The sequence below is a fragment of the Homo sapiens genome, chromosome 3 (assembly GCF_000001405.40).
Source record: "Homo sapiens chromosome 3, GRCh38.p14 Primary Assembly".
Lineage (NCBI taxonomy): Eukaryota > Metazoa > Chordata > Mammalia > Primates > Hominidae > Homo > Homo sapiens.
The window spans coordinates 175,235,834-175,248,156 of NC_000003.12; the positions used below are offsets into that span (position 1 = coordinate 175,235,834).

The 12,323-nt window shown below is 35.9% G+C and overlaps 1 protein-coding gene and 1 long non-coding RNA gene across 24 annotated transcripts in view; one reads left to right on the forward strand and one right to left on the reverse strand.

Annotated features, from left to right (window-relative positions):
- Positions 1–12,323, forward strand: part of NAALADL2 (N-acetylated alpha-linked acidic dipeptidase like 2) — a 1,369,567-nt gene that overhangs the window by 794,852 nt on the left and 562,392 nt on the right. The gene's annotated exons all lie outside the window — the stretch shown is intronic.
- NAALADL2-AS2 (NAALADL2 antisense RNA 2) overlaps positions 1–12,323 on the reverse strand; it is a 36,005-nt gene that overhangs the window by 742 nt on the left and 22,940 nt on the right. Inside the window, exon 2 of the long non-coding RNA NR_046713.1 lies at positions 6,549–6,597. This is a non-coding gene — a long non-coding RNA (NAALADL2 antisense RNA 2). The remainder of the gene's footprint in view (positions 1–6,548; positions 6,598–12,323) is intronic.

Consider the following 12,323-nt stretch of genomic DNA (forward strand, 5'->3'; position numbering starts at 1 on the left):
TCATGAAACTACAACTTGTATCCTTATTTCCTTAGCATGGCCCTCTGTAATAACCCGCTGGCCCAGTGGATTGAAGGTAGAATAAGGTTAAATCAACTAATTTATTTAAATAAGTTCCTTAGATACGGGTTCACCACAAAAACCCTCCCTCAATGCCCGTGCACTTTCATATTGTACAGTTTCCACACTGACCAAGGAAAGAGATATCCTATCACTGTGCAGCTTCTCCGAGGCCCTTATGGGAGCATGTATTTGTTGGTCTTACTGTATAATGGGGAGATTCACTGGATCTGGAAAATTAAATTTCTATGACTCCTTTATACTCCGGACTTACTGCATAATAAGGGAAACATGGGAGATGAACCCTTCAATAACAATTTGTTTGCCTTGGTTTAAAAGGAATACTGGCCGGGCACTGTGGCTCATGCCTGTAATAGCAGCACTTTGGGGAGGCCGTAATCCCAGCACATTGGAGGCCGAGGCGGGTGGATCACCTGAGGTTAGGAGTTCGAGACTAGCCTGACCAACACAGTGAAACCCTGTCTCTACTAAAAAAATACAAAAAATTAACCGGGCCCGGTGGCAGGCTCCTGTAATCCCAGCTACTCCTGAGGCTGAGGCAGGAGAATCACTGGAGCCCAGGAGGGGAGGTTGCAGTCAGCCAAGATTGCCCCATTGCACTGCAACCTGGGCAACAAGAGTGAAACTCCTTCTCAAAAAAAAAAAAAAAAAAAGAAGAAAAAGCGGGGGTGGGTATATTAACAGATATTGTATACTTCTAATTTCTGATTCATACTCACTACCAGCAAACTCTCATAATAATGGAGGTGGTGGTGGAGGGAAGAAAGTCAGGGAGAAGGTCATTTGGAAGAATCTGTTGGGCCCTAGAGTTCCACTATTGGGCAAATCCACTTTCCTGTGATATTTGTGCAGATATTGGACACAGAGTATTGTACGTAATTGTATGTTTGCTTTTTATATTTTGTAAAAGTCTAGGCTGAATCACAAAAATGTTAATCATCCCTTTTATTCTAACAGATGATGCTGTAGGATGGATATATAAATATTCTTCGCCCTTTATTTTCTTTATTCTTTCACACTTCTGCAATTAGATAGCCTCACCTTCAAGTGTCCTGCGTTCAAGTAGTGTGTAAGAGTAATAAATGTTTGGCTATGTAGTGTCCATTGTTAGACTCCTTCACACAACTGAATGTCATCTCATTTTTAATGTAAAATAATTTTTTAGTTTAAAATATATGTAATATTACTAATATGTAGAGAGGTTTAATATTTTAAGAAATAAGTTAAAAATGTGAATTTGCAAAATTCTATAGCTTCAACCTTCTTACTTTTAAAAACTGAGCCTATTCCCTTTCTTCTAGATGTTTTTAGGCCACACCAAATTCCAAGCAGCCACTGATTGATTAGTTTATAGGGACCCTATAATTATGATTTGATTAAAATTAAAATATATTCAGGCCTAAAGTATTTTAATATCTTTTTCAAATTTAGCAGTCATTGTTTGTGGAGGCTAAGTTAGCCTCCATAAATTTTACTTGAGCACCATTTTTATTTCCTTGACAATTTCAAATCATCAGACCTTAGAAACTAGAAATGTGAATTCGCAGGATACCGATGGTGTTCTCCACCCCCAGCCTCTCTCCCATTTAGAATTATAAGTTATAAGGGAGTTGTATTCTCAGCATTTTGGTTATATGTTCGATATGTTCGGTAGCTGTCTTTTTAGATCCCTTTAAATGAAACAGTTGTTTTTCTTATCCAAATATATGTGGTTCTTTCCTCTTCTTTATTTTTTTTCTTTTTCACTTACTTTTTCTTGTCAATAGAGGACACAAAAGAAGAAGCCGGTTTACTTAAAAACACTATATTTTAACTTTCAAACTAATGCACGTGTGTATGTATCTATAACAATGGCCTTTTGTGTTGTTTTTCTGGGCATGTTGTATGACAATTTCTATTACAGCATATGGGACAATTGGGATAAGATAGGGTTCAGTAACACTTTCTTGTATGTCTCCATCTTTCACAGTTAAGGCAATGCACGCCTATGTCTAAGGATTTGACTTTGTATTGAAAGAGCCAATTTAAAAATGAAAAACTTAAGAGAACCAACCAGTGGTTTTATCTGTTTACTATCAAAGAGTACTCATTTATTTTTTAAAAAGTTAATTATTTTTTTCATTTTGCTAATGAAACTGGGTGGGGTGTTTTTTTTAAAATATTCCTGTGTAACCATATCTCTGAGAGTTTTCTACATGTTTATCTTAACAGTTTTAAGTTTTTAAATTTCCTTTTGTTTCACATAAAATAAAATCAACCTCTACTGCAGATTTCTGGAGTTATCCAAATATGCATAGTTCTAAGTCCTTATTTAGTATCCTGACACCATTTGTAAGTGTATTAAAACTGCCTTTTTTAAAATAAAGAAGAGTTTAAAAAAACTTTTAAAATGCAGCTGTTAAAAGGGAGAAAATAAAGTTAACTGTAGATGTAGAAATATACTCCATGTTTGAAATATTAGGGCTAAACAAAAGGGATTGTTAAAGGAAACAAAATGCAATACGGATAAACCTTACACCTTGTATTTGAAGAACATAATTTGAGAAATTAATTATGCAAATTAGATAAAGACACTATTTTAAGATTGTATTAATAATGCAAATCTATTATACTAAATACATATTGATTTAAATATCTATATCAAGAAAGCACATGCTATTGATACTCATTTCTTAAAACTCAGATTATATCAGTATTATAATTTTCAAAAGCAATTTCTAGGTGGCTATTATATATGCATATACAATACCTGCACATATTTTATATGCCTGTTTTAGATATATTATTGAAACTCACATGTTCTAATAGATAAGGCGCTGGTGATTTTTCTGTATCACTTTAAATCATTCCCTAATTCAAATCAAGCTTGAGTGGTTGCTGCTAAAGATTCAGGCATGCCTCTTTTTTTGATTTTGAGTACATTGTGTTTGCATGAATTTCTGTCTTGCAGAGCCATTAACAAGTTCTTAAATTATTCTAGTCTGACTGCCAGCAAAGCTTCCCACAACTTTTTGCTTTTGACAAGGTTATTTGCAGAAGAGGAGTGCCCCTTTTCTTGGAAGAGCTGTCATGTCCATTCATCATAGGACCGTTTTGTGTAAGCTTCCAATTTGTGCTTTCTGGTAACCGTCTAAACAGCATTTCTGATATCTGAGATCTACTTCAAAAACCTACTTAGTGCCAGCATGATGGATGGTGTACTTTACAACTTCTTTGTAATTCATCGTGCACTAGAAAGGTGACATAGTTTACCCCATCATAATGACAGGTGGGTCAGTAAAAGGGTCCTAAGGAGAGTTGTCCTGTCAGATGCAAAATACATATTAAAATGGATACATAAATAATTTAGCATGTGTAAGGTTAGCTTCAGGGAATAAACAGTGATTTGTATTTTTCTTAAAAGGTAAATATCAACTATAATATTATCATAAGGTTAAAGACATTGGTGGTGAGTGCTGAAAATGTCTAGTCAATTTTATTAATAGAACATATGGCTTTTATGCAATTTCTATGCAATTATTTCTTTTGTCCTTTGTGAAACACCAGCAGATGTAGAAAAGCAAATCACATATTAATATTTGCTATACATTGGTCAGATTGGTTCTGCCAAGTTGTTGCTGAGCAAGAGATTTTTTTCTTATTTCCATACATTTTATGGATTTTGTATCTTTTCATTCTGTAAAGCTTCATTTTTTTATCTGAAAGATAAGCCAAGTAATGCAGTTTTATGGAGAAACTTATTTTCAAAAACTCACTAACTGTGCAGAAGCTACATTATTATGAAGATATGTGTCACTACCCTATTCTGCAGAGAGCATAGTTCAACAGCCCAGACTAGCATCCTTTCTTAATAGGTGTGCAAATGTGGGGTGGTCAGGTCAATTCTGTACGACTCAGTGTTCTCATCCATATAAGGGGAATAGTAACAGTAACTTTAACGTTTTTTGTGGGGAAGAAATGATATAAACCATGTAAAGCACCTGACAGTTAGTACTCTATCAATGTTAGCTCTTATTGTCCTGTAAAAAGTCGACACATTTAAATGGGAGAAATTAAGAAACTACCAGAACATCAGAACAATATATCAAGATTTGAAAGAACAAACTTTTATTATATTTATCACATTATCTAAATATAATCTTTCTGTCTTCTCTTTAACAAGACAAATACGAATCATTAGGGAAGAAAATGCCTAGGCCAGTATGAATAAAAATAAAATATACATAATGCCCTGATCCTATGTTTAATTAAAAGTGAAAGCTCAAAAAAATTACAAATGAAATGTTTTATTCTTGAATGCAGAACGATTAATCATGTTGAGTTGGACCAGAAAAGCATTGCTTGTCTTTGTGTGTAAAATATCAATATGTAGTGCCTTAACGTATGAAATCTGAGCACTGTATCAAATATTTTCTCAGAAAGTCTCAAAGAGACAAAAATACAAACACTGCATGGAATCCTTGGATAACCTACAATCAGATGCCTATTTTCTCACAGCTGGAAAAACTTGGTCTTTCTCTTTTATTTTGAATATTTTCAAACAAAAGCAAACTTATCAGTGTTATGGCAAAAGGCAGAGCTATATGCATTTGGCTCTGAATGATTGCTGTTATAGATAACAATATCAGTGAGCTAGAGAAGTGGAATGGAACTGTAGTACTTAAACTTTTGTTTTCTGGATGGTAAGATGAAGCTACTGTCTCACCAACACAGAAATGTGAACTTCGAAGTTTTTGTTTGTTTGTTTGTTTGTTTTTTGAGATGGAGTTTCGCTCTTGTTGCCCAGGCTGGAGTGCAATGGCACGATCTCAACTCACTGCAACCTCTGCCTCCCAGGTTCAAGCGATTCTCCTGGCTCAGCCTCCCGAGTAGCTGGGATTACAGGCATGTGCCACCACACCCGGCTAATTTTGTATTTTTAGTGGAGACGGGGTTTCTCCATGTTGGTCAGGCTGGTCTCGAACTGGAACTCCCGACCTCAGGTGATCCACCTGCCTTGGCCTCACAAAGTGCTAGGATTACAGGCATGAGCCACTGTGCCAGGCCCAGGTTTGAAGTTTTTTAATGGTGACAGTGGCTTTGGATATTATTAGTCTCCCTTATTTTTCTATTGTAAAAATCCATCTTTTGGCAACAGTGCACAAGTGTGAGATAAATGACTGTGAATGCAGCTGTTATTCATTTTTTTTAAATCTGCATACAGTCCCTTGGTCCAGTGTGACCTTCTGTTTCTCATTTTATGAGCTCTGTTCACTAACCAAGTTAACAAAACAATTCCATAATTGCTTCTTTCATTTTTTAAAAAAAATTCATTTTATTATTGTTTGTTTTTAAGACGGAGTTTTGCCCAGGCTGGAGTGCAGTGGTGCAACCTCGGCTCACTGTAACCTCTGCCTCCCTGCTTCAAGCAATTCTCCTACCTTAGCCTCCCCAGTAACTAGGACTACAGGCATGTGCCACCATGCCCAGCTAATTTTTGTATTTTTAGTAGGGATGGGGTTTCAACATGTTCACCATGCTGGTCTGGAACTCCTGACCTCAGGGGATCCACCCACCTCGGCCTCCCAAAGTGCTGGGATTCCAGGTGTGAGCCACTGTACTCAGCCCTTAATTACTTCTTTCATATTTGAGAATAATAACCATGGGGCTAGTTTCTACATATTTAAGAAGATATATATTTTCCCTGTATTTAAAATTTAGACAGGACCATTTACAAAAACCATGATCTAACACAACATATTGTACATAGTTAAATATTTGTTAGAGAGAGTACGTTTTCTACCCGTGAAAGAGAACAGAAGCCTATTTTATGAAATAATAGTTTTAAAGCATAGGTAGCTAAATTCAACTAGGTGGTTAAAGTGCAGTGGACTGTTTTCATTTTCCCCACTTGATTACAACACATGTGGCATTTTTAGTGAGAAAGTATCTGGATGCTGAATTTTTTTTTTTTTTTTTTTTTTCTTGAGACAGAGTCTCACTCTGTCACCAGGCTAGAGTGCAGTGGGGAGGTCTTGGCTCACTGCAACCTCTGCCTCCTGGGTTCATGTGATTCTCTTGCCTCAGCCTCCCAAGTAGCTGGGATTACAGGCACGCGCCCCCATGCCCAGCAAATTTTTGTATTTTTAGTAGAGATGGGGTTTCACCATGTTGGCCAGGCTGGTCTTGAACTCCTGACCTCGTGATCCGCCCACCTCAGCCTCCCAAAATGCTGGGATTACAGGCATGAGCCACCGCGCCCGGCCCTGGATGCAGATTTTTAATTTGACTTAAAGTTATTTCTAAAGACTTTTAGTCACCGTAATTACCATTTGACAGAAAATGCCAGTGTTTTCGTTTTTATTTCTGATTTGATTTAGGCAAACTACTTGCAAAGTTAAGTGATAATGTAATTTTCTTAGCAGATACATGTTTTAATTTATACAAAATGCCTGTATTTAAGTATTTTGTTTACAAATAACACTTACCTCATTTCAGCAGATGCTGCAAATTCAGTCTTTCCAGAACTAGAGAGATCTGTGGAAAAGTTGATTCTTAGGTTTCCGCACTGTTTAAACACATTAGTCCAAGAAAATGCTGTCATATTAGTTTCACAGTCTCCAGGAAGAATTCTCTTGAATGAATTTGCAACTCCTTCAATACACTTACCTCAATAAGTTGAGTATCATTTATTAAATAAAGTGTCCTGTGAATATTAATTTGTTATTCCTTATATTTTAATTTGATACTAAAAGATTAACTGACTAATATAGAATATAGCCAGCTTGGTCTCACTAATATAACAAGAAACATTCAACTTTCAGCAAATACATTTTGAGTACCTTTTATACATTAATCGCAGGGGACACAGTGGTAAATAAGAAAGCCTCGGACCCTGCTGCATGCAGCTGGCAATATAATAGGAGAAACTGGCATTTAAAATTGCTTGGCTTGATACTGCTATAAAAACTAACAAATTATTTAAATATCTAAGCTCTAGTTTCCTCATCTATAAAAATATCTACCGAATATTAGTGTTCTGTAAGATAGACTGGAACAATTGATTCAATCTGCTTAGCAAAATGTCTAGCACAGGGGACATGAATGGTTAAGTATTTGTTTTGTTTTATTTTTATATCCTGCCATAACAGTTCTGTATGGTTTAATCCTTTCCATAACACACACACACACACACACACACGCACACACACACACTATACTCAATTTTCTAATAACTGGAGTTTCCTATGAACCACCTTTTGCCATTATCTCTTTCTTGCTATTATCTGCTTTTAGAGAGACTTCTCTTTGGACCAAGGCCTAATTAAGGACAAGCTTTAACCCCTATCTCTAATGCATAACTGTTTTCTGTTTTCAGCTACCTGCCAAAACCCCTACTAGTGTTTTGTTCTACCACTTTAGAAGGAAACACACACACACACACACACACACGCACGCACACACACACGCCAGCACAAACCAGTTTATTTCAGCTAGTTAGTTTATTTTTTGCATCTTTCCCAATTCTCATGATCTCTCCCACAGTTCCTCAGGAAACAGTGCCCTGTTGGTCATTTGAAATAAATTATAATGAAAATCTTTAAACCATAGAAATTTGCAAATGCTACACATCAGGACTTTTTTTTTTTTTTTTTTTTTTTTTTTAACCCAAGAACCATTTTACTAGCATACAGCTGCCCAGCGTTCAACTAAAAGCAATGGACTAGATTGCCAATTACAGCATGGCCACAATATTAGGGTGGAATGGACAGAGCCAAGAACACTGCTCTGTAGTGTTAGAAAGTGAGAGTGTGCTCAGTGCCCACTTCAGGTCCCCTACCTCTTTCATCTACGGCCACAGAAGCTACTCAAAATTTAATCATAATATTGAAAGGGGCAGGGAATTTCCTTCAGATTTCCCAAGGTCTGAAATGGGAAGATAAAGTTACCTTCTCCACAGAACTAATGGAAAATCAAGAGGGAAGGTAATTTTAAAACTTCTCTCAAGTTATTTTGAAATATAAACCTTCCTGGGATACTTCTGGCTCCTGGAATATTTTGCAAAATAGCTATTGACCTTCCATCCTGCTCCTCAAGCAACTGGGACTGACTGGCTCACAAGCCCTCTGCCTGGACTTTCAACACAGCAACGATGTCTCTCCATTGCCCTCTACCCATACCATAGGAGAGAGATGATTGACTTTCACAATTTCATTCTAGGACCCTTATCTCGGGAGCAATCAGCTAGCATGGTTGTTGATTATTTATTTTGTGTCTTATAATAGTTTTATTCCTAGTTTGCTTCAGGAAAATGCAATAAATATGTTAACCATGGGAAAACTGATAAAGTTGCGGAAGCTCTCATGATCAGTTTTTAGGGACTTTCATGGTAATATATATGGAGTAAGGCTAACCTCTTTTACACTAATTTATTTTATTCGTTCTCATGTTGAGAAACAGTAGTCTAGATTCACTTTCTCTGTACCTCTTTTTTCATTTCTAGGATTTATCAACCAAATGGGTTCAAATAGTTTTAGTCTATGAACATTAAGTCTTCTTTTTGGTAAATGTTGAGCAACCAACCGAGATACTGTCACGTTGTTGAGCTGTACGTTAGCTCAGATCTACCACCCAACTGTTGTTCTTTCTTTCTTTGATAGATTTTCTGAAATTTTATCCGTATCCAATCCCATCGCTATAAAAATGCATAACTTTTTATTTCAAAATTTACTAGTCATGTTTTACTCCTCAGTATGTGTGATGCCTCTGTTTCATTTGGTACAGTTCCTCATTCCTTCAAGGACTATGTACTTACTGCCGTCTAAAAAGTTATTCCCCAGGTCTGTGCATGGCTTCTCATCATTTGGATGTGAACTCCTTAGCAACGTCTTCCCTGACTTCCCCTATTAAAGTAATTTCTCATCACCCTCTATTACATTACCTATGTTTTACTGTCTTTGGGGCATGTCAGCATTGAAAGTTTTCTGAACTGTTGATGTCTATGTTTACTTTTTGTTGTTGTTGTTGATCTCTCAGCAGGAGAAAGTAAGCAGTAGGAAAGGGACCTTTTGTAACTCATTTCCTCCCTATCTTCAGAAACCAGAATACAGTGTGTCACATATTGCCAGAAAATGAAATAATTATCTCTTTAATACCCTCTTTCTTGGACTTCCATAATTCTGTTTTCTCCTTTTTTTCTCCTACTTCTCTACATATTTTTCATAATCTCTTTTTTAAAATATATATTTTTGCTTTTAAAATAACTCTGTGTAATATAAATAGCTAAAGGAAAGATGCTATGGCCAATTATGTTATATTTTTAAATGTTGACCAAATAATACGAAAGGACAGCTATATAATCTCTAAGGTACTATTTATTAAATTCTGGAAAATGTTTAAAGTTTTGCCTTTCTGACAATCTACAATTTTTTACTCTAGCCTGAAATATTAGATTAAACTTGCATTATTTTGTCTGTTGACTTTGGAGACTATAGATGTAAAGTATGGAAATGAAATCCTGACAAAACGGTTTTGCTTTAGCCAAATTTCTATCACAATAATTTTAACTTTTTTTGTCCTTTGGATGTGCATTATATGTTAGATTGTAAAACTGAAGACATTTTGCAAATGTATTAAACAACTACTGTATGCCAAGGCAAGTAGCAACTCTGGTTTATCTATGTTATTTGTGCTATTGAAACATAGTCACTGTGCCATTAAGCACTGCATTTAGTGTATCACTGTAGCAAGTATTTTTTCAGCAAGTGTACATACTGCAGTAAAGAAGAAGTGATAAAATTGAGAAGTCACCCCTTTATCTGGTTCTTTGCAACAAAGACAGCAAAATTGATTGTATATCTTACGCTTAATTCTGAATTCTGCAGGAATGCACCAGTCTAGTCCACTAGCTAGTGTCCCTTCTAATGGATTGGAGGTCCATTTTAACTGACTAGAACTTGTGCTGTACTAGTTACCAAATATTTTAAATACCTCTCCTCTTATGCCAACCCTTGTCTAATTGGTCTTAACTGGAACACTATTTTGATAAAGAGTTTGAAAACATGATGATTGCTTAGTTATGTCTGCCACAGGAGTGGGGGAAGGCAGTGTTGGTTTTCATCCTTCAATACATTGTGGTCTTCATGATAATGACCATGATGGAAAGCCACTGAGTGAACCTAAAACAGAAGCACCAATATAATTCTAACAGTCTTTGAATTTTGAAATCTTTATCAATGCTAAGATTCTAATGATTTTTAGAAAGAAAGAAGGTAAACGTGGATAATCACTGTGATTTTGCAAGTTTTTAATAAATATAACCACTTTAATTTGAAGTAAATTCAAAGCTAGATTTATATATGATAGTAGGAAATTTCTAAAGCAGAAACTCGTTTTTAGGTGAGCAATACTTGTGATAGTATTGTAGTTTGTCATTATCAGAAATGCTTGGGTTTATCATTTCTGAACTTGAGTAGAAAATTACTGTTTTAGTCTAAGCAGGCTTTTCAAACATTTTGTACATTCTGAGTCTCTCTTAGAGAACGAGAAAGGCTCAGAATGATGGATTTGGTTGAAAATGTCAAGTCTAAAAGACTTCAATGCATTAATCATTTCATACACATGAATAATTTTTGCTTCCTCAAGGTGGAGAAGAAACATGGCACTGGAATGTTCCCCTGTGTGGAGTCCCAGCCACCCACAGGTGGACTGTACCGGGGTAATTTTCCTGACTTAGTTACTTTTAATTACTGTTTTATTTATTGTGTTTAGCTGATTGTAGGAAATAATAATTCTGCTTTTCTTTTAATTACTTTTCTGTTGCTTCTGCTAAGAGTGGTTTTTCCATTCCTATATAGATAGGAATGCAAGTTTCCAAAATCTTGTACTCCTGAAGCAAACACCTAGCTTACTTGGTGATGTGTTTAAAAATCTTTACTATTGATGATATTAGGGAAAAGCAAGAGAAAAGATATGACTATCCTAAGAGTCTCACATTTTTAGTTCTATTGGAATGAATGTAAAAGTGATTGTTTTGCCTTTGCCAGCAGTCTTGTGGTCTCAAGAGTCACAGAGGATGTGGAGTATGAACTTTGGGGTGTGGAATTCCCTACGTAGTAATTACATAAATAATTTTTCTTTGCTTTGACCATGTAATGTATTAGACATTAGGTTTCTTTTAGACACAATGTTTTATCCTCATATAAACTGTTAAAGCTATTAACCATTTAACTGGTATTTATTTACTATTGACTTCACACTGTTTTAAGTGCTTGGGATAAATCAGTGAGGAGAAGAAAGATCCTAGCCATAGTGAAATGTAAACATTGTATAAGGAAGAGACAATCAACATAATAAAGAAGCAAATTATGTGTGTACACACACACACACACACACATAAAACACATAAGTAAGTGTATTTAGCTAATTATTTCATTATAGTTAGGCATTGCAGCATGCTGTGGAAAAATAAAAGCAGAGCAAAGCAAACTGATAGTGCTGTTTTGGGGTGGAGTGGTTGTAGTATTGAATGGGGTAGTTATAGTTGCCATAATAGCTGAAATTTGAAAGAAGACCTGAAAATGGCAAAATAATGAGTCAAATGAATCCGGGAAAGAGGGTGTATTTCTAATAACAAGGAACAGCTAAATCCAAGACCCTATGGGACATATACAACTCCAGCTAGTCGCTGGTAGTTGTGCCAGGGAGAAAGTGGAGAGTAATAGGCAGGACCAGCTACATAATTTGTAGACTCAATGTAAAATAAAAATGCAGAATGCCTTGTTCAGAAATTATTAAGAATTTCAAGATAATGACAGCAGAGCATTAAACCAAGCAGGGAGACTTTTAAAGCACAACCCTTGTGCAACTGCACAGGTCACAAACCTCTGAGGCCAGCCCTGGTAGAAAAGATGAAGTCATAGAGCAGTATGAAGAGAGGATTATGTAGGGCATAACAGGCCATGCAAGAATTTTGACTTTTATCATCATCCAGATTGGGTCCCGATGATCTAATTCACTGTTCTATCTCAAAATCTTCATTTCACTAATGAGGACACTGAGATCCAGAAAAGTTCATTTACTAACCCAAGGTTAGACTGCTAAGTTTTTATAGAATCAGCTCTGCACCATCTGCTTAATCTTCAAAAGGGCCCCTGCCTTTCCTTTTACCTTCTACTGCCTTCTCTAGTATACCTGCTTTCTCTTTGGCAAAGAATCGATAACAATGTGATGAAAAATTATATGGGGAAAAATCCGGATTACAG